The following is a 23808-nucleotide window of genomic DNA, read 5'->3' as shown; positions in this document are numbered from 1 at the left end:
CCTTTTCTCCATTTTCTCCAGGGAGAGAATAAGAGTACATCTCTGTTTCATCTACTGTGTCAAAATTTTTAGACTTACTATACCATCATTATTGTGCTAGTACTGACTTGTGACAGCTTCACAGTGTTGTCGTCTTTGTTATTTTGGTTTTCTGTTGCTTATGTTCATTGCATATGTCTTATTTCCTCCATTTTTATTGTTGGATAAAAGTACATACTTATGTGACATTAAAAGTTTTGTGGCTTTAGGGGCTGGGCGCGGTGGCTCACACCTGTAATCCCAGCACTTTGGGAGGCCAAGGTGGGCGGATCACAAGGCCAGGAGTTTGAGACCAACCTGGCCAATATGGCAAAACCCCATCTCTACTAAAAATACAAAAATTAGCCAGGCACGGTGGCGGGCACCTGTAGTCCCAGCTACTCGGGAGGCTGAGGCAGGAGAATCACTGGAACCCAGTAGGTAGAGGTTGCAGTGAGCAGAGATTGTACCACTGCACTCCAGCCTGGGCGATGAGCAAGACTCCGTCTCAAAAAAAAAAAAAGTTTTATGGCTTTAACTTTGTTAATTTCTTGAACACGTATTTTTAACCATGTGTATGAAGTTTGAGTGCATGACTCAAATATGACTAGATTGTACTCTTGTTCATTTTAGCAGCTCTGAGAAATATCTCTTAAGATACTGTTGAAAATACAGAAATTCTGTATTTAACCACTTCTTTTTTGTTTGTTTGTTTGAGACCGAGTCTCGCTCTGTCACCCAGGCTGGAGTACAGTGGCGTGGTCTCAGCTCACTGTGACCTCCGCTTCCTGGGTTCAAGCGATTCTTCCGCCTCGGCCGCCTGAGTAGCTGCGTCACCACGCTGGGCTAATTTTTGGGTTTTAGTGGAGACGAGGTTTCCCCATGTTGGCCAGGCTGTCTTGAACTCCTGACCTCAAGTGACCTGCTTGCCTTGGCTTCCCAAAGTGTTGGGATTTCAGGCATGAGCCACCGCACCCGGCCCTCAACCACTTCTTAATACAACCATGCAAGCTCACTTTTTAAGGTTCCAACTGTGTACTTACAATAAGAATTCAGAGAAAATACCTTTTGGAGCAGGGATACTGAAGAGCTACCAAAATATTTATTACTGTTGACCCTCAGTTGTGCTTAATGTTTTGAAGATACCTTAAAACTGTCTAGCTGTTTGGGGAGATTATATTAGCTATATGTTTGACTTTTTTGTTTGTCTTTTGTTTTTTTTTTATAATAACCAATTCAACTAGAAGTTCCTAGTTCCTTCCTTCACTGAATTGTTACACAAGCAGACCTCATTTTATTGTGCTTTGCTTTATTGCGTGGTTTTTTTCAAATTGAAGGTTTGTGGCAACCCTGCATCAAGCAAGGCTATCAGTGCCATTTTCCCAACAGCATATGCTGACTTAGTGTTTCTGTGTCACATTTTGGTAAATCTTGGTTATTTCAGACTTTTTCATTAGTATTAAATCTGCTATGGTGATTGGTGATCAGTAATCTTTGATGTTCTATTGTAATTGTTTTGGGGCACCATGAACTGTACCCACATAAGATGGTGGACCTAATCCATCAATGTTATGTGTGTTTTGACTGCTCCATTGACAGGCCCTTCCCTGATCCCTTTCCCTCACAGGCCTCCCTATTCCCTGAGACAAAACAATATTGAAATTAGGCCACTTAATAACTCTACAATGTTCCTTAATGTTCAAGTGGAAGAGTCACACTTCTCTCATTTTTCATGACTGTTAACACAACAGAAGTAATTTTTACTTTCAAGCCTTAATTATTTAAGAAAAAACATTGCATAAGCCTTGTGGCTGCCATAGAAAGTGACTCTGTTGATGCATCTGGGCAAGAAAATTGAGAAACTTCTGGGAAGGATTCACCATTCTAGATACCATTAAGAAATTAGTGATTCATGGGAGGAGGTCCAACTATCAACATTAACAGGAGTTTGGAAGAAGTTGATATCAGTGTTCATGGATGACTTTGAGGGGTTAAGACAAGTGGAGGAAGTCACCCAGATGTAGTGGAGATAGCAAGAGAGCTAGAATTAGAAGTGGAGCCAGAAAATTTGCCTGAGTTGCTGCTATCTCCTGCTCAAACTTGAAGAGATGAGGAGTTAATTCTTACGGATGAGCAATGAAAGAGATGGTATTTAGTCCTAGTGAAGATGCTGTGAACATTGTTAAAATGACAACGAAGGATTTAGGATATTACATAAACTTAGTTGATAAAGCAGTGACAAGGGTGGGAGAGGGTTGTCTCCAGTTTTGAAAGAAGGTCTGTGGAGAAAATGTTGTCAAACAGCATCACATGCTACAGAGAAATCTTTTATGAAAGGAAGAATCAATTGATGCAGCAAACTTCACTGTCATCTTGAGAAATTGCCATAGTCACCCCAACCTTCAACAACGACCCTGTTAAGTCAGCAGCCATCAACATTTCAAGCAAGACCCTCCACCACTGAAAAAATTATGACTCACTGAAGAGTCAGGTGATCATTAGCATTTTCTAGCAATAAAGTATTACATTTTTTAGTTAAGCTATGTACATTGTTTTTTCAGACATAATGCTATTGCACACTTTTATATGCACTGCGAAACCAAAGGTTTTGTGACTTGCTTTATTACAATATTTGCTTTTTTGTGATGGTCTGGGAGTAAACTTGCGCTATATTCAGGGTACACCTATGTATTTGTATATTTTTTCTCCTCCTAGTGATTTATCTTTTATCATATCAGTACTGTTTTAACCATAGTAGTTTTAGAATATGTGGAAGACTGACCAGGCATGGTGGCACACACCTGTAATCCAAGCATTTTGGGAGACTGAGGCAGGCAGATCACATAAGACCAGAAGTTCGAGACCAGCCTGGCCAATATGGCAAAATGCTGCCTCTACTAAAAATACAAAATTAGCTGGGCATGGTGGCACATGTCTGTAATTTCAACTACTCGGGAGGCTGAGTCAGGAGAATCGCTTGCACCTGGGAGGCAGAGGTTGCGGTGAGCCAAGATCACGCCATTGCACTCCAGCCTGGGCAACAAGAGCAAAACTCCATCTCAAAAAAAAATAATAATAATAATATGTGGCAGATCAAAAAGAAATTACGTATTCTAATAATTTTTTAAAATAAATTTAAAAAACAATCAAATTATAGACATGTTACAGAAAATTCACCTAATCCATTTTCAATATTTTCCCAGATTTCCGCACTTAGACACTATGTATATATAATATATATTGTATACGATATATATTGTATACGATATGTAATATACGATATATATTATATATAGTATACATTATATAAATTATATATAATATATAATGTGTGTGTTACACATGTTAATATGCATATATAAAATATATATTAGGCCAGGCAAGGTGGCTCACACTTGCAATCCCAGCACTTTGGTAGACCGAGGTGGGTAGATCACTTGAGGTCAGGAGTTCGAGACCAGCCTGGCCTACATGGCAAAACCCTGTCTGTACTAAAAATACAAAAAAGTAGCCAGGTGTGGTGGCACGTCCCTGTAATCCCAGCTACTTAGGGGGCTGAGGCACTCGAATCACTTGAACCCAGGAACAGGAGGTTGCAGTGAGCTGAGATTTACGCCACTGCACTCCAGCCTGGGTGATAGAACAAGATTCGGTCTCAAAAAAAAAAAAAAGAAAAAATTGTCACAACCACCCCAACCTTTAACAATTTTTTTTCAGCCTAGGACCAATGCAGAATAATGCATTGCATTTAGTTGTTACATTTGTTTTTGTCTCCTTTAACCTGGAATTGTTTCTGAGCCTTTTTGTTTCATGACATTTTGAAGAGTATAGACTAGTTATTTTACAGAATGTTCTTACTTGAGTTTTGTCTGATCTGCATGTTTAAATTTTAGTTTCACATTCTTGGCAGGACTACTACATAAATGATATTTTGTCCTCAATGCATCACATCAGGAGGCACGTGATGTCAGTTTGTTCATTATTCATATTATTAACTCTGATCACTGACTAAAGTGAGGTCTGCAAAGTTTCTCCTGTGTAGTTAGCAGTGTCCTTTTTAATTACTGAAGTGAGCTGTAGACGTATTCTTTAAAACTATGTAATAATCCTGTTTCTTATCAGACTCTGACATAATAGTTTTAGTACCGATTTATGATCTTTGCCTGACTCAGTTATTACTGTGAGGGTCACAGAGTAGTGACTAAAATGATGATTTTCTAACTCTGTCGTTTATTTTGTATTTCTTAGTTGGCACTCTACTGTAAGGAAGAACTTTCCTTTCTCCATTTATTCATTCATTCACTCACTTTTTACAGTTCTGAATTCCTTTTAAAAAAAATTGGTATCACTGTAGACTCATGGATACCTATTTTATTTCTGTTTTATTTGACAAGTTGTAAATCAGTACTCTTTTTTTATTTTGGTTCTCAAATTGTAGCAGATTTGGCCAGTGGGAGTTCCTTTCAATCCAGTTCCTATGTACGTTAGATTTTGTTTGTTTGTTTGTTTGTTTTTTAGACGAAGTCTCGTTCTGTCACCCAGGCCAATATGGCAAAATGCTCTCTCTACTAAAAATACACAATTAGCCGGGCGTGGTGGTCCATGCCTGTAATCCCAACTACTCAGGAGGCTTTTGTGATCTTGGCTCACTGCAACCTCCGCCTCCCGGGTTCAAGCAATTCTCTGCCTCAGCCTCCCAAGTAGCTGGGATTACAGGCACCCACCACCACGCCCGGCTAATTTTTGTATTGGTAGATATGGGATTTCACCATCTTGGACAGACTGGTCTTGAACTCCTGACCTTGTGATCCACCTGCCTTGGCCTCCCAAAGTGCTGGGATTACAGATGTGAGCCACCACACCTGACCTTTATTATTATTATTTTTTAAGCATCTCCATCCTTTCTGACACACGAATATGTTTCAGGGTCTGCTTATGCCCTTTTCTGTGCTAATGAATTATTTTTAATCTATGAAAAGTACTAAAAGTGATTGCAGTTGTGTAACAACAATAATCATTAGCTTGTGAAAAGCACACATTTCAGAATTTATTGTAATATCTCTTATACCCACTTTTGTAGAATAAAGTCAAGGTATATTTAAATTCTATTCTGTTTTGTGACTTTGTTCCTATTTTCTGTTGGTATAGTTTTAAATTTAAATATCATCCCAGATAACCTCTAAGAAAAATAATTTTTTATTTTATTTTTTATTTTTTTCATGAAACCATTTGAAAGATGAAATATTTTCTGGAAAAATAAAATATTAATTTCCTGCTTTATAGTTTGTACAACCCTCAGTAGATTCTAAAAATGGAAAACCAATCGATCATTTACAGGTGTTTTTGTAAATAGTATTTGCCATAGAACAAAATTGTGCGACTACACCCATAAAAATGAAGTATAATCATGTATCACTAACTTTGGGCCTCTCAAGTCATCAGGATAGAAAACTTTTATTTTGCTCTTACATACAAGGTACTATTTTAAGCTCCCCGCTTGTCTGCCCAAGCTGGAGTGCAGTGATGCAATCTCAGCTCACTGCAACCTCCACCTCCTGGGTTCAAACAATTCTCATGCTTCAGCCTCCCAGGTAGCTGGGATGACAGGCATATGCCACCGTGCCCAGCTAATTTTTGTATTTTCAAGAGATTCTCATGCCTCAGCCTCCCAAATAGCTGGGATGACAGGCATGTGCCACCGTCCCCAGCTAATTTTTGTATTTTTAGTAGAGATGAAATTTCACTATGTTGACCAGGCTGGTCTCAAGCTCCTGACCTCAAGTGATCCACCCACCTTGGCCTCCCAAAGTGCTGAGATTACAGGAGGGAGCCACCAGGCTGGTGTATTTTAAGTCTTTTACATTTAAGTCTTTTTAAGTCTTTACATTTGTTTCATTTTAAGTCTTTACATATGTTTCATTATTTTCATTTTGTTGATGATGAAACCAGAGATACTAAATAACTAGCCTTAGGTCACATAGCAGTGGCGCACCCACTCAAATCCAAGTTTTTTAATTGTTTTCATTGTCTCTTCCCATTTTCTTCTACTAATGTGTTGTTTGTGGTAGCTTGCACTACTCTTCCACTTTATCCTTGCCTTCTGATGTTGGTCTTAGGGCAAACTTTTTATTTTCAAACAGAGTCTTGCTCTGTTGCCCAGGCTGGAGTGTAGTGGTGTGATCTCAGCTCACTGCAGGCAACCTCCACTTCCCGGGTTCAGGCAATTCTCCTGCCTCAGCCTCCCAAGTAGCTGGGATTACAGGAGCCCGCCACCACACCGAGATAATTTTTGTATTTTTAGTAGAGACAGGATTTCACCATGTTGGCCAGGCTGGTCTTGAACTCCTGACCTCAGGTGATCTGCCTGCCTTGGCCTCCCAGAGTTCTGGGATTCCAGGCATGAGCCACCATGCCCGGCCAGCAAACTCTTATTTTTTGTATTTATCTTTTTTTTTTTTTTTTTTTTTTAGACAAGGACTTTCCCTGTTGCACAGATTGGAGGGCAGTGGCACAATCACAGTTCACTGCATCCTCTACCTCCCAGGCCCTCAGCCTCCCAAGGAGCTGGGACCACAGGCTTGCACCACCACACCGCAGCTAATTTTTTAAAAGAAATATTTCATAGAGATGGGGTCTCGCTATGTTGCCCAGGCTGGTCTGGAATCCTGGGCTCAAATGGGATCCTCCCACCACTGCCAACCAAAATACTGGCATTACAGACATAAGCCACAACACCCAGCTGAATTTATCTTTTTTCAGATATCTTTTTAGGTTGTTTTAATGGCAGTTAATGGGGAGAGATTAGATGCTAGTATTTAATACATCATCATGAACTAGACATGAACACATTCTTCAGACTGAGTGTAATGTAGGGGGCGAGTTTCAATGTAGTCACATTTTGGCTGGGCACAGTGACTCACAGCTGTAATCCTGTCATTTTGGGAGGCAAAGGCAGGTGGATGACTTCAGGCCAGGAGTTTGAGACCAGCCTGGGCAACATGGCAAAACCCCATCTATACTAAAAATACAAAAATTAGCTGAGCATAGTGGCGTGCTCCTGTAATCCCAGCTACTCGGGAGGCTAAGATGGGAGGATCTCTTGTACCTGGGAGGCAGAGGTTGCAGTGAGCCGAAATCATGCCACTGCACTCCATCCTGGATGAGACTGTCTCAAAGGAAAAAAAAATAGTCACATTTGAACCAATAGTGGTTATTGGTTTTTGGATAGATTGTGACTTATTATTTATTTACTTTTATTTTAATTTGTTTTTTGGAGACAGAGTCTTGTGCTGTCACCCAGGCTGGAGAGTAGTGGTGCGATCTTGGCTCACTGCAACCTCCGCCTCCCAGGTTCAACCAATTCTCCTGCCTCTGCCTCCCGAGTAGCTGGAACTACAGTGCCCGCCACCACGGCAAGCCAATTTTTATATTTTTAATAGAAACAGGGTTTCACCATGTTAGCCAGGCTGGTCTCAAACTCCTGACCTCTGTGATCCACCCGCCTCGGCCTCCCAAAGTGCTGGGATTACAGGTGTGAGGCACCGCACCTGGCTTGTGACTTACTATTTATGTTATTTATATTGATAGAGTCATGCTATTCTTAGAAGACTACACACTTATTTCCATGACTGAGCTTAGAAATTATTTTAGTTACATACTTCTGATTATTCCTTGATCATACTATATAAAAACCTTTTAGTATTCTTCTATCCATTTTTTATCTGTCTAGACTTCTAAGTCAAAAAGACATGAATCTAGGTTAATGCCTCCCTTTTCTTCATCAGCACACACACTGTACATCCTACTTGCTGTCTACCTTGTCATTATTTACCAAAAATGCATTTGAGTGCCAAGTCCTGAGGATATAATGGTGTGCTACAAGCAATCCTTAATCTCATGAGACTCTTGATTGTTTTTTATAAATTCTACCTTCTGAATATCTTCTTGCCGTACTCTTTTAGCCCCACTACCATATCTTTAGTTTAATCCCTTATGGGTTGGTGCAAAAGTAATTGTGGTTTTTGCTGTTACTTTTAATGGCAAAAAAAAAACACAGTAACTTTTTTACCAACCTAATACTTTCTTTTGTGGATCACATCAGAACCTTTCTGTTTTAGTAACTTCAGTTTCACCCTCTCTCCATTCTAGGTTCTGTTACAGTAACTCTTAACTATGTGTATCCATGAGAAACTCTGATAATGTTTTTTAAAAAATACCTGACTTCTCTCAAATACTGTTGTATGTGTAGATTACTTGCCAATCTCTATCAGAATTGAAAGTGGACATACCTTTCTCTGAGGATTTGTGGTTCCAGGAATTTAGATTATAAATATACACTTGGATGTGTGTACAGAGGCATAGATGCAAATATGTTCATTGTAGCATTTATGAATATTTAAAATTTAAAACATTCTACATGTTCATCTACAGAGAACCAGTTAAATACAGAAGGATAAAGGATGATGAGAAGATTTATATATACATACATTTAGTTGAAATATATTTTTGGATGTTTCATAAGAAACTATGAACAGTGGCTTTCTCAGTGGAAAACTAGAGGAAGAAAGTTAACTTGAATTGTACACCAGTTATACTGTTGGATATTTTACCATGCACATCTAATGCTTTTTTTTTTTTTTTGGAGACAGAGTCTTGCTCTGTCGCCCAGGCTGGAGTGCAGTGGCGTGATCTCGGCTCACTGCAACCTCCACCTCCTAGGTTCAAGTGATTCCACTGCCTCAGCCTCCTGTCTAATGCTTTTTAAATTAAAATACAGTCCAGTCACAGTGACTCATGCTTGTAATCCCAACACTTTGGGAGGCTGAGGTGGGCAGATCACCTGAGGTCAGGAGTTCGAGACCAGCTTGTCCAACATGATGAAACTCTGTCTCTACTAAAAATACAAAAATTAGCTCGGCATGGTGGCATACACCTGTAATCCCAGCTACTTGAGAGGCTGAGGCATGAGAATGACTTGAACCTGGGAGGCAGAGGTTGCAGTGAGCCAAGATCGCACCATTGTACTCCAGTCTGGGTCACAGAGTGAGACTCTGTCTCAAGAAAATAATTATTTAGCAATGAACGATTGAAAAATGAAATATTATGAAATGTATTATTTACAGTAGTGCCAAAAACATGAAATACTTAGGTATAAATCTAACAAAGTATGTGCAAGATCTGTATGCTGAAAAGTATAAAACATTAATGAAAGAGGCTGGGCACAGTGGCTTACGCCTGTAATCCCAGCACTTTGGGAGGCCGAGGCAGGTGATCACCTGAGGTCAAGAGTTCGAGACCAGCCTGGCCAGTATGGCAAAATGCTGTCTTTACTAAAAATACAAAATTAGCCAGGCATGGTGGCACATGCCTGTAATCCCAGCTACTCAGGAGGCTGAGGCAGGAGAATCGCTTGAACCCCAGAGGCCGAGGTTGCAGTGAGCTGAGATTGCGCAACTGCGCTCCAGCCTGGGCAACAAGAGCAAAACTCTGTCTCAAAAAAAAAAAGAGATTGCAAAAAGAGAATATAATCTCTACACCACACTGTTAATATGTGATTTTTCTTTTTACACTTCCTTGTTTCCAATATTTGGAATTTATATGTAAGCTTGACAATAAAATTTCAGAGTCTTGAATTGCCAAGGATTAATGTGCATTAGCCTGCTTCGTATCCATTCTTTGGGAAATCTTTTAATTCTTTAATCACGGAAGTTAACCTTTTACTGCTTGAATTTTTTACTTGAGTTTTTCACGCTTCTAATGATATTTTTTATTTTTTTAACTTATGATATAGCATCCTGCTAATAATACAGTACATTGATTGGATAATCAATCCCCTATTTCCTAGAATTTATTAATCTTTTCTCTTTACTCAATCGTTTGCTACTTTATATCACTGAGGATTTGCATCAGTGTTTATGTATTTCTTAATATTTCCTTAAAAATGTTACAGTGAATTTTACTCTGCCATATTATTTTGAATTATTATACAATAAAAATGACTAATTTTTTATTTATGTACAGTCTTATGAATTTTAATGTGTTTAGATTTTTGTAGTCATCACCATAATCAAGATACATAACAGTTTCATCATCCCAGAAGACTTCTTCATGCTATCCTTTTATAGTCATATGCTCACCCCAACTGAAGCTCCTGGACATCAGTGATTTGTTTTTCATTACTATAGTTTCATCTTTCTAAGATTTCCAAATAAATGAAATCATACAGCATGTAACCGTTGAGAGCATGTCTTTCACTGAGCATAATATCTTCCTGAAAGTAATGTTTTTGACATTAATTCAAGTTGTGTGAGTCAAAGTTGGTTCCTTTTTACTGCTGAGTAATATTCCACTGTGTGGATACTTCAGTTTGCTTTATCCATCCGGCTACTGAAGGACATTGAGTTGTGTCCAGTATTTGGCTATCACAATTAAGTCTGTCATGAACATTTGTATGCAAATTTTTGTCTGAATTCATAAGTACTCATTTCTATTAAGTAAATGCCCCAGAGTAAAATTGCTAGGTTTTATGGTAATTATATATTTAACTTTATTAGAAACTGTCAAACCATTTTCCAGAGTGGCTGTACCATTCTGCATTCCTGCTAACAATGTATGAGCTTCAGTTATTGTGTATCGTCATTGGTACTTGATAATCTTTACTTTAGCCATCCTTCTAAGTATATAGTGGTATCTCATCATGCTTTTAACATTTTTCCTTTTTTTTTTTTTTTTTTTTTTTTTTTTTTGGAGATAGAGTCTCATTCTGTCACCCAGGCTGGAGCGCAGTGGCACAATCTGGGATTACAGACACCTGCCACCACACCCAGCTAATTTTTTGTATTTTTAATAGAAACGGGGTTCACCACATTGCCCAGGCTGGTCTTGAACTTGTGGGCTCAAGCTGTCCACCCACCTGGGCCTCCCAAAGTGCTGGGAGTACAGGCATGAACCACCACACCTGGCCTAACATATTTTTCCTAATACTAAAGATGTTGAGGCTGGACGCGGTGTCCTATGTCTATAATCCCAGCACTTTGAGAGGTCGATACAGGCAGATCGTTTGAGCCCAGGAGTTTGAGACCAGCCTGGCCAACATGGTGAAACCCTGTCTCTACTAAAAATATAAAAATTAGCTGGGCATGGTAGCACACATCTGTAATCCTAGCTACTCGGAAAGCTGATGCACAAGAATTCACTGAACCTGGGAGATGGAGGTTGCAGTGAGCCGAGATCATGCCACTGCACTCCAGCCTGGGCAACAGAGTGAGACTTCGTCTGAAAAAAAAAAAAAAAAAAAAAAAAAAAAGAGGTTTTTTCATGTGTTTATTTATTTGCCAGCCTTATATCCTCTTTGGGAAAGCCATATTGATTATTTATTTGCATCTAAATGCTCATTTTTTGAAGAGGATGTTAATTGTCGCTCATATTAACCCAGTCTAAAAATGATAGACCAATATTGGCTATCAGACACAATTAAGTTTAGTTCACTCTTTTATCATGCACATGTCCACTAAAAAGTTTGAGCCTCCTTCTATTTAAGGTCTCTTGCCAACAGAAAAATAGAAGAGCCCAGATTTTCCACTGTCATTACGTGGATTTTTAGGTTTTTAAACATGTCCTATAGGTGTGGGTAATATGCATGTATACACACACACACACACACACACACACACATATATGCATAATTATTTTCCTTACTATTATTCTCTAGTCTTAATTCAGACTTTGTTTTCCAGGTAAACTCAGTTTTCTAAACTTAAACATTCCAGAAGCTTTACATTAATTAGAAAATTAATCTTCAAGATGTGTGATATCTGTCATTAGCCACAAGCTGAATGATTCTCACTGATTCAGCCAGCTAGTCAGAGATAAAAAGGTATAGTTCTTTTAAAGAACTATTAAGGAAAGGGACTAATAACAATTTTATTTTGATTAAAGTAGTGCTGGCTGCTATAATCAGTTAATTTCAAAATCTGAGTGGCTTAACACATAGAAATTTATTTCTCACACCCATAACCGTAAAGTATCATTAGGGGGAGTAGGGTGTTAATTGCTCTCCCCAGTCATTCAGGGACCGAAGTTTTCATGGGGTATTGGTGTCCTGGCAGACAGGAGAAGATAAAAAGATAGAAAAGGCACTCCTACTTGTTAATTTGCCTAGAAATGTGCAATACACATTAGCGTTTCCTCCTAGGAACACCATTTCCTCATGGAAACAGGAGGGCAGAGAAGATGGGTTGGAAGAAATTATTAGTCATCAGACTAATAATGACTTGCTGTCATTTGATGATCCTCTCCAGGCTCAGAGCAATGTTAATCCAAGGCAGAAAGAGTATGGTACTCAAGGTTGCAACAGTGGCTTTTGCCTTTTTCAATTTTTTGTTCCTTGTTTCTTGTGTCATTTGTCCTCCAGAAAGACGAAGTTACTGAACAATGATTTCTGGACAAGTTAGGATAACATTGCTGGTGTGGAGGACAAAATATCAAAATGGCTAAGAGTGAAGCTTGACAGGAGAAGTTCTAAATGGTGTCTGATAAGCTATATTGTTATAGAATTATGTCTGCGAGAAAGCAGAATGTTTCCAAGTCAATAAGAGCAAGCTTTTTATTTTAAGGTAATGCAGTGGAGTCCCTTTAAAAGTAAACTTAAAAGGAATACCAATGTGTGAAACAGATTAGAATGGAAATTCTATATTTGAAACAGGTAATGGGATGGCCAAGTGTCTCTGTTCCCTCATAACCCCTGACAAGAAACTTCTTTAAAACTATGAAACAGCCTGAAATATTTATAGTGTAGAATAATAGAAAAGTAGAAGGAAAGGAAGTGATATTTATAATGAGTAGGACAATGACATAACCAAAATAAAGCAATTCTTCAACATTACTCTTTTCCAGCTTAATTTCCCATTGATTACTATTAATTTATATATCACTCTTCTAGTAATTTAACAGATAGGGTTGTTTCAAATTCAAATCTTGTCTTTTCCATTCAGACCTCATTATTATTGTACTTAATATTATAATTTAGAATTTACCTTAAGGTATCTCAGGACCATTGAACATCTTCTAGTGTATTAGGGTAATTTTTTTAGCACTAATGTTTATAACTTGACAATGTTCCAGTAGTCTATTTTCTGCATTCTGACATGAGTCAATCATTTAATTATGTTTAATAAAATCCTGACATCATCTCATTAATTTTGCACCAAAGGCAGCGCACCACTTATTCCTCTAATTCTTTTTTTCTTCCCTTTTCCTTTTTCTTTTTTTTTTCTTTTCTTTTCTTTTTTTTTTTTTTTTTTTTTTTTTTTTTAAGACAGTCTCACTCTGTCGCCCAGGCTAGAGTGCATTGGTGTGATCTTGACTCATAAAACCTCTGCCTCCCAGGTTCAAGTCATTCTCCTGCCTCAGCCTCCTTAGTAACCAGGAATACAGGCATGTGCCACCATGCTTAGCTAATTTTTGTATTTTTAGTAGAGACAGGGTTTTGCCATGTTGGCCAGGCTGGTCTAGAACTCCTGACCTCAGGTGATCCACTCACCTCGGCCTCCCAAAGTGCTGGGATTACAGGCGTGAGCCACTGCACCCAGGACCAGGTCATTCCTCATACCTCCAATTCTTAAGAGTTATTGTCAGTCTCAAGTAGGCACATTGGAAGTATCTTTTGCTTGAGTGATCTGAAACCTGAAAATTTATTATTTTTTTTTCTTTTTTAGACAGAGTCTCACTGTCACCCACGCTGGGGTACAGTGGCATGATCTCGACTCACTGCAACCTTCTCCTCCTGGGTTAAAGTGATTCTCATATCTCAGCCTCCAAGTAGCTGAGACAGGCATGTGCCACCACACCCGGTAATTTTTTATATTTTTAGTAGAGACGGGGTTTCACCATCTTGGCCAGGCTGGTCTTGAACTCCTGACCTCAGGTGATCCACCCGCCTCGGCCTGCCAAAATGCTGAGATTACAGATGTGAACCACTGTGCCTGGTCTGAAACCTGAAAATTTTAAAGTAAAATCAGCTAGGCCGGGCACGGTGGCTGACACCTGTAATCCTAACACTGTGGGAGGCTGAGGTGGGCAGATCATGAGCTCAGGAGTTCGAGACCAGCCTGGCCAACATAGTGAAACCCCATCTCTACTGAAAATACAAAGATTAGCCGGGTGTGGTGGCACGCACCTGTAGTCCCAGCTACTCAGGTGGCTGAAGCGGGAGAATCACTTGAACCCGGGAGGAGGAGGTTGCAGTGAGCCAAGACCACACCATTGCACTCCAGCCTGGGTGACAGAGTGAGACTCTGTCCCCCCCAAAAAAATTAAATTAAATTAAAAAAATAAAATCAGCTCTAACTCTCAACTAGTTCCTGCAGCATTCTACTTATTGATTTTCCTTTTAACTTATTATCTACATATGTTTACCTTTATGGTTTGTAGTTTATCAAGTGGGGAAGATCATAGTGACACAAGATAAATTTACTGATTACATAATGGAATATTGGGTGGGCGCGGTGGCTCACACCTGTAATCCCAGCACTTTGGGAGGTCGAGGCGGGTGGATCACCTGAGGTCAGGAGTTAGAGACCAGCCTGACCAACATGGTGAACCCTGTCTCTACCAAAAATACAAAAATTAGTCAGGCGTGGTGGCACGTGCCTGTAATTCCAGCTGCTCAGGAGGCTGAGGCAGGAGAACTGCTTAACCCACCACTGCACTCTAGCCTGGGCGACAGAGCAAGACTTGATCTCAAAAAATTAAAGTAAAATAAAATAAAGGAATATCAATATTAGGTATGCTTTATTGCGAAAAGATACATCGTTTATTCAAAAAATGTAGTAAACATTTTGTGTACAAAAATGCAGTAAAAGATCTATCCAAGGCCCGGGAGACAGTGCAATACTCCATCTCAAAAAAAAACTGAAAAGGTGCTCATCCTCATTGTATTTAGAGAAATGTAAATTAAAACCACTACCCATATGTAATAGAATTCCCAAACTTAAGCAATCTGATATCAAGTGTTGGTAGAAATGTGAAGACCCAGCAACTGTCAATGACTAGTAGATACAAACACTTTGAATAACAGTTTCAGAATATCTAATAACATTGTACATACACATACTGTATGATCCAGAAGTCCTATTCTTAGAGCATCAGGAATAGGATTTTGTCCCTATTTTCCAGAGAGACAAATATCAGAATTAAGGAAAGTAAAATTGATTAAGGATTACAACGTAAAAGAGAACTCCAATTTGGATAGGTTTTTTACCACATTTTTGTTTGAATACTTGATGTATCTTACTGCAATAAAACATACCTAATAATATTGATATTCTCAAAATGTGGCCTGGGAACCCATGGGCGGTTTCCAGGAGAGGTCCATGAAGTCAAAACTATTTTTACAATAAGATCAAGATGTTATTTCCTTTTTACACTCTCATTCTCTTGCAAGTGTACAGGTGGGGTATTGGTGTCATAGCAAGGAATATTCATGTTGTCTACAGAGGTTATTAAACTATACCTTCTTTTCCCAAACTACTTTGTGAGACTGGATTTTTTCATATATTTCAATGAAAACAATGTATTGTAACAATGCAAAGCAGATAGGAAAATTCAGTTGTTTTCTATTAAGACAGACATTAAAGAGATTTGCAAAAATGTAAAACAGTGCTACTCTTAATAAATATTCTTTCCTTTAGAAAATTTATTTTGAGGCCAGGCACGGTGGCTCACACCTGTAATCCCAACCCTTTGGGAGGCTGAGGCGGGCGGATCATGAGGTCAACAGTTCAAGACCAGCGTGGCCAACATGGTGAAGCCCTGTCTCTACTAAAAATACAAAAATTAGCCAGGCGTGGTGGCAGGCGCCTGTAATCCCAGCTACTTGGGAAACTGAGCCAGGAGAATCACTTGAACCCGGGAGGCGGAGGTTGCAGTGAGCCGAGACAGTGCCATTGCACTCCCGCCTGGGCAACAAAGCGAGACTTCGTCTCAAAAAAAAAAAAAAGAAAGAAAATTTATGTTGCGGCCGGGCGTGGTGGCTCACGCCTATGGTCCTAGCACTTTGGGAGGCAGAGGTGGGCAGATTGCCTGATCTCAGAAGTTCGAGACCAGCCTGGGCAACATGGCAAAACCCCGTCTCTACTAAAATACAAAAAAATTAGTCAGGCGTGTGCCTGTAGTTCCAGCTACTCAGGAGGCTGAGGTAGGAGAATTGTTTGAACCCGGTAGGTGGAGTTTGCAGTGAGCCGAGATCACGCCACTGCACTGCAGCCTGGGCAACAGAGCAAGACTCTGTCTCAAAAAAAAAAGAAAATTTTTGATAATTGGTTACCGTGGCTCAGACCTGTGATCCTAGCAGTATGGGACACCAAGGCAGGTGGATTGCTTGAGTCCAGGAGTTTGAGACCAGCCTGCGCATCATGGTGAAACCCCGCCTCTACTCAAAATACAAAAATTAACCAGATGTGGTGGTGCATACCTGTAGTCCCAGCTATTTGGGAGGCTGAGGCGAGAGGACCACCTGAGCCAGGGAGGCTGAGGCTGCAGTGAGCCGTGATCACACCACTGCACTCCAGCCTGAGTGACAAAGTGAGACCCTGTCTCAAAAAAAAAAGAAAGTTTGTTTCTTTTCAGAAAGTTTTATTATTTGTTATGTAATAAATTTTTAAGTGAATTAATAAGTATTTTATAAACATTTCTTAGTTTTAGTTTCTAATATGATAGTATTGAGAGATATAACACACATAAGGAAAAACTCTTTGGGACTCTTAGTAACTTTTAAGAGTATAAAGAGATCCTGAGAACTAAAAACTCTGAAAACCTCTGCCCTAGAAAAATGCATGCAGAGTGCACCAAGACACATATATAAGCATGTTAATCGCAATATGATCCACAATGGCCTAAAACTCAAAGCAGTGTAAAAGTTTATCAATGATAGACGAATAGGGAGTATTCTAAATATTACACGGAACTAAAAACTAATGAACTCTAGGTACATGCAACATCAATAAATCTGAAACATAAATGTTAAATGAAAAAAGTCAGACTCAATACATATGGTATGATTACGTTTATGTACTGTTCAACGATATGCGTAAAAAACTAGGAATGCAGACTTAGGTAATTAAAATATACCAATTCCCAAATAATCCATAATAACTGTTGCCCTTGGGAGAAGAAAGATAATTATATTGGGAGGAGGTGCTGGCAATGTTTTATTTCTTGATGTGGGTGGTGGTTACACAGGTATTTTTGCTTTATATTCATTAAGCTTTATACTCATAAATGTATATTTGATATGACTGTTTTCACATTAAAATACTTTAAAAGAAGTAGAAATTTTCTTATAAAATGTGGGTAAATATTTTAGATTCAGTTATTTCAACTATAAAATTTGGATAAAAATAATTTCATCAGTCTCCTTTTAAAAATTTGACTAAGTAAAATATTCATGACACTACATTTTTGTTTAAACATAGTGCTATTTCAATCTGTATTTATTCCCATATGTTGTGTCTTTATTCTCCAGATTGATACATTGGTTTGTCCTTTTTAACCAAGTATTTTATACATTCTCATTAATTATACAAAAATTTGGACTTGAAGCTATACTATAAAATAACAACTGTGATAAATATTATCTTAGCACGGTGCAAACAGATGATCTCATTTTTTTGAATTTTTCATTAAAAAAATTTTTTTTCATTTGATACAGATAGTCGTGCAAGCACTGCAGTGTTCCCATTATTCGATTCTTTGGCAGTTGGTGAAAATTACTGATGGCTCTCCTTCCAAAGTAAGTAAGAGTTTCTGTAGGCAGAAGGGTTATTACTGAAATAATAACCTTGCTTAACTATTTAATAATTTACTATTATCAGTTATTGTATAATATAAATTATTGTAATATTTAATAAAATATATGACTATTACCAGTTCTTGGTTTATCTTATGAGTAAGTATACATTTACCTCTTTGGGAAGAGCCAAAATCTTCAAGCAAAAGACACATAGTTATGTGTGTGTATATATATGTACACACACACACGGATTAAAACTTCTTATATAAAATCACTGTAGTAGACACAAGAGCTCTGATAGGTAACATGCTATTAAAAAGAATAACATTGAGGCCGTGCACGGTGGCTTACGCCTATAATCCCAGCACTTTGGGAGGCCGAGGTAGGCAGATCACTTGAGGTCAGGAGTTCAAGACCAGCCTGGCCAATATGGTGAAACTCCATCTCTACTAAGAATACAAAAATTAGCTGGGCATGGTGATGCACACCTGTAGTCCCAGCTACTTGGGAGGCTGAAGCAGGAGAATCACTTGAACCCGGGAGGTAGAGGTTGCAGTGAGCTCAGATCACGCCACTGCTCTCCAGCCTGAGCGACAGAGTGAGACTCTTGTCTGAAAAAAAAAAAAATACAAAAATTAGCCGGGTGTGGTGTTGGGTGCCTGTAATCCCAGCTACTGAGGAGGCTGAGGCAGGAGAATCGCTTGAACCCAGGAGGCAGAGGTTGCAGTGAGCCAAGATCGCGCCATTGTACTCCAGCCTGGGCAACAAGAGCAAAACTCCATCTCAAAAAAAAGAATAACATCATTGAAAGATAGTAGTATGATACCTAGAGACACAAAGTGAACAACCCTCTTGAAGTTAAAAACAACTTAAAATGTTGGGTAAATTTTTTTTTTTTGAATTTTAATGTATCCATGACCATGCAAAACAAAGAAAAATGTGGGCTAGGGATTAAATGAAAAAAAGTAAGATCAAGAAAGCCAAAAAGAGCACTGAAGCCTGCTTTACCTTGAGGATGTTTCTCAAGGTCCATCCAGGATAGAATGTCTCATAGGTGGCCACATCTCCCAGATAATTTTGGGATCCTAATGACCTGCTCTTACCACAGGGGTGAACTAGAAATAAACGCACTCCAGTTTCCTTCAGGGGCTGGGGGATTATAAGGAAAAGAGTCTGTCTTAAAATTTGTCATTGATTAAAATGGGGAAAAATAAATCTCCCATGAAAGTTTATGACTTAGCTTTTGCATAGGTTTTCACCTGAATTCATACTATTTTGATGGTAAAAAAAAAAGAAAGAAAAAAAGTTGAGATTTTGATTAAGTGTTCTATAATGGTGGTAATCCCCAACCACCTAACAGAATCAAATCTAAATATCTTCTGAAGGAACTTGCCTTAAAGAATTTTCCACAAGTAAAACCTTAAGCAAAATGAGCTCACAGCAAAAATATCACTCATGAAAACAACCATGAAGAGAATCAGACAAAAAATACTTCACATTGGAATTATCTGACACAAATATAAATGTTTCAGTTATTTCATGTAATGAGAGGCCTGAACATGACTAAGAAGTAAACATTTGATAAAGAACCAAATAAAGATATTAGTATGTTTGTGTATCTCCTCTTAACAAAACAAGCTGTTTAACCAGTAAAGATGAGTAATGCATTTGCATATAGAACAAACAGCTTGATATGGAGTGTTATTTTTTCAGAGTAAGAATTTTTTTTCCTTTCTGAGTAACAATTTGAGGATCTCTGCATTTAGAAAGTAGTAGGATTTTTAAATTCTTTTTCATTAGAAGAATGGTAATATATTGGTTAGCCTCTTGGTTTTTCTCTTTTATTAATAATTTCAGTCTTGAAAAACAAAAATAACAGTTAACCTTTTATTAGTAATGAAAGCCACTTTAAAACTGTGTTACAGCCTGGTGCGGTGGCTCGCGCCTGTAATCCCAGCACTTTGGGAGGCCGAGGCGGGCAGATCACAAGGTCAAGAGTTCGAGACCAGCCTGGCCAATATGGTGAAACCCTGTCTCTACTAAAAATACAAAAATTAGCTGGGTGTGGTGGCAGGCGCCTGTAGTCCCAGCTGCTTGGGAGGCTGAGGCAGAAGAATCGCTTGAACTCGGGAGGCGGAGGTTGCAGTGAGCCAAGATCATGCCACTGCACTCCAGCCTGGGCGATAGAGCGAGACTGTCTCCAAAAAAAAAAAAAAAAAAAAAAAAAAGGCCAGGCGCGGTGGCTCACGCCTGTAATCCCAACACTTTGGGAGGCCGAGGTGGGCGGATCACAAGGTCAGGAGATCGAGACCATCCTGGCTAACACAGTAGTGAAACCCTGTCAATACTAAAAATACAAAAAAATTAGCCGGGCGTGGTGGCAGGCGCCTGTAGTCCCAGCTACTCAGGAGGCTGAGGCAGGAGAATGGCCGGAGCCCAGGAAGTGGAGCTTGAAGTGAGCGGAGAGATCGCGTGGCTGCACCCCCGCCTGGGCGACAGAGCGAGACTCTGTCTCAAAAAAAAAAAAAAAAAAAAAAAACTGTGTTACACTGGGCCTGGCGGCTCACGCCTGTAATCGTAGCACTTTGGGAGACCAAGGTGGGCGGATCACCTGAGGTCAGGAATTCCAGAACAGCCTGGCTAACGTGATGAAACCCTGTCTCTACTAAAAATACAAAGTTAGCTGGGCATCATGGCGCACATCTGTAATTCCAGTTACTTGGAGGCTGAAGTACGAGAATCGCTTGAACCTGGGAGCTAGAGGTTGCAGTGAGCCAAGATCTTGCCACTGCATTCCAGCCTGGGTGACAGAGCGAGCCTCTTGTCTTTTTTTGAAATGTTATTTAATATAGTAAAGTCAAAGGAGATTGAATTTATATATTAAAATTTGATAGGAAGGGTTTAATGATTTTACACAATTGCTTTTATTCTCACCCTTCTGATTGAGTTTTAGATAGTTTTTCCCACAGACGTCATTTTTGTTGAGTTACTTGCATTTTGGCTAAATATTGATTATTGCATTTAGCAAATTTAGAATATGTTATTCCGTAAAAATTCAGCATAATTGATAGTTAATTCCTCCTTGTAAATCTATTAATAATTTAAATTTTGTCTTTTTTTTAATTGAGATGGAGTCTCACTCTGTCACCTAGGCTGGAGGAGTGCAGTGGTGCAATCTTGACTCACTGCAACCTCTACCTCCCGGGTTCAAGTGATTCTCCTGCCTCAGCCTCCAGGGTAGCTGGGATTACAGGCGCATGCCACCATGCCCGGGTTTTTTGTATTTTTAGTAGAGACTGGGTTTCACCACGTTGGCCAGGCTGGTCTTGGACTCCTGACCTCAAGTGATCCACCCACCTCAGCCTCCCAAAGTATTGGGATTACAGGTGTGTGCCACTGTGCCCAGCCTAAATTTTGTCTTTTTACAACTATATTCCATAATTGGAATGAGAATCTCTATTCTTCAATCGACTTCTTTGAATATTTTCTATTTTTTAATCTTTTTACAGCAGAATTATTTTGAAATTCCTTGCCTTTTTTGTCTGACACATTCTCCTAATAAAAGATAGTTTTATTTTTGTATTAGTCATATTACATATTTCATTGGCAATGCAGATTTTGTTACCAGAACTGATTTTGTTTTGTTTTATTTTTGAGACAGGGTCTCACCCTGGTTGCCCACTGTCACGGCTCACTGTGGCCTCAACCTCCTGGGCTCAGGTGATCCTCCCACCTCAGCCCCTGAAGTAGCTGGGACTACAAGTGTGTGCCACCACGCCTAGCTACATTTTTTTTTTTTTTTTTTTTTTTGAGACAGAGTCTCGCTAGAGTGCAGTGGCATGATCTTGGCTCACTGCAGTCTCCGCCTCCCAGGTTCAAGCGATTCTCCTGCCTCAGCATCCCAAGTAGCTGGGATTACTGGTGCCTACCACCATGCCTGGCTAATTTTTGTATGTTTAGTAGAGACGGGGTTTCACCGTGTTGGCCAGGCTGGTCTCGAACTCCCAACCTCAGGTGATCTGCCTGTCTTCGCCTCCCAAATTGCTGGGATTGCCTGTCTTCGCCTCCCAAATTGCTGGGATTACAGGTGTGAGCCACCACACCCAGCCACGCCTGGCTACTTTTTTATATTTTTTGTAGAGATGGGGTTTCACCATATTACCCAGGCTAGTCTCAAACTCCTAGACTCAAGCAGTCCACCCGCCTCAGCCTCCCAAAGTGCTGGGATTACAGGTGTGACCCACTGATTTTCTTTATGCCAGAAAGAATGCTGCAGCATCTTTTATGTGTTTTATTCAGTTAATTACAATTTATAGTTTTATGTGCATTTATAGCATATGTGGAATTTTTCTTACTTAGGTATTTGTCTCTCAAGTTATTTCTTCTCATTTTGAAGTTGTTGGTAGTTTCTTTAAAAGTCCAGGGTATATTCAGTAGTCATCGTACATCAGTTCTGTCTATAATTTTAAAATGGTTCTCTAAGTGATAATCTTCAAAAGCATGAATTTTTAAGACACATGCAAACTTTAAAAATTCATGTTTCAGCTGGGTGCAGTGGCTCATGCCTGTAATTCCAGCACTTTGGGAAGCCAAGGCAGGCGGATCACGAGGTCAAGAGATAGAGATTATCCTAACCAACATGGCGAAACCCCGTCTCTACTAAAAATACAAAAATTTGCTGGGCGTGGTGGCATGGGCATGTCCCTGTAGTCCCAGCTACTCAGAAGGCTGAGGCAGGAGAATCGATTGAACCCAGGAGGCGGAGGTTGCAGTGAGCCAAGATTGCATCACTGCACTCCAACCTGGCAACAGAGCGAGACTCCGTCTCAAAAAAAAGAAAAATCCATGTTTCAGGCTGGACACAGTGGTTCATGCCTGTAATCCTAGCACTTTGGGAGGCCAAGGTGGGCAGATCACTTGAGGTCAGGAGTTGGAGACCAGCCTGACCAACATGGTGAAACCCTGTCTCTACTAAAAATACAAAAATTAGCCAAGTGTAGTGACACATGCCTGTAGTCCTAGCTACTCGGGAGTCTGAGGCAGGAGAATCGCCTGAACCCACAGCAGGTAGAGATTGCAGTGACCTAAGATTACACCAGTGCACTCCAGCCTAGGCAACAGAGTGAGACTCTGTCTCAAAAAAAAAAAAAAAAAAAAAGATGAAGCGTAGGAAGGGACTTTGTTGTTGTCATTACCTTATTGTTTTACATTTTGTTTGCTCGTTTGTTCATTTGTTTGTTTTGAGACAGAATCTTGCTGTGTTGCCCAGGCTGGAGCTCAGTGGCATGATCTCAGCTCACTGCAAGCTCCGTCTCCCAGGTTCAAAGGATTCTCCTGCCTCAGCCTCTCCTGAGTAGCTGGGATTACAGTCACCCACCACCATGTCCGGCTAATTTTTGTATTTTTACAAAAGTTGGCTCAGTTTGTAATGCCAGGACTAACAGTATATGGAGGACTTCTGTGATAATGCACCTAAAACTCTATCCATTTTTTCCCCTTAATTTTTTCCCTGAAGTTTAAATGTAGTATGGTAGATACTGGGATTTTTATATATGTTAAATGTATTTAATATTTGTAATGTTGGTCATTTAGAAGCAAGCTGAAAGTTTGTTACGTAAAGTAATTTTGTATTATTTTGTTGAGAAAATGTTAAAATGAAATGGGTCATTTAGACAGTGAGGGAGCAAGCCAGCCAACCATTATTTGTTTTTCTTTCTGTAGTCATTTATACAGTTATAGAAACATTTAAATCTCTCAAGAGGTCACATATTTTTATTAATAAAATATGCTTATTATTTTTTGTTATAAAATACAAGGTAGAGTTCTCATAAATTTGAGCTCTCCTACTTCAGCATATGCTTATTATAAAAGAAGAAATACAAAAATAGTAATATAAACAAAATAAAACTGACTCTTACCACTTGTAGATAACCACTGTTAATATTTTGGTGTATTTTCTTTTCTTTTTTTTTTTTTTTTTTTTGAGACGGAGCCTGGCTCTG

General features: G+C 39.3%; 1 protein-coding gene across 8 annotated transcripts in view; it reads left to right on the top strand.

The window, feature by feature from the left end:
- STAG1 (STAG1 cohesin complex component) overlaps positions 1 to 23808 on the top strand; it is a 416143-nt gene that overhangs the window by 335824 nt on the left and 56511 nt on the right. For all 8 annotated transcript variants that reach the window (XR_001739978.2, NM_005862.3, XM_047447229.1 and 5 more), the window contains one exon: positions 17726 to 17806. Coding sequence is in view for 7 of the 8 variants with exons in the window: in NM_005862.3 (NP_005853.2) it covers positions 17726 to 17806 (81 nt within the window). In the remaining variant the exon portion in view is untranslated. The remainder of the gene's footprint in view (positions 1 to 17725; positions 17807 to 23808) is intronic.

This window comes from Homo sapiens, chromosome 3 (genome assembly GCF_000001405.40).
Source record: "Homo sapiens chromosome 3, GRCh38.p14 Primary Assembly".
Taxonomy (NCBI): domain Eukaryota; kingdom Metazoa; phylum Chordata; class Mammalia; order Primates; family Hominidae; genus Homo; species Homo sapiens.
Note: the sequence above shows the minus strand (reverse complement) of the source record. Positions and strands in the feature narration are given on the sequence as shown.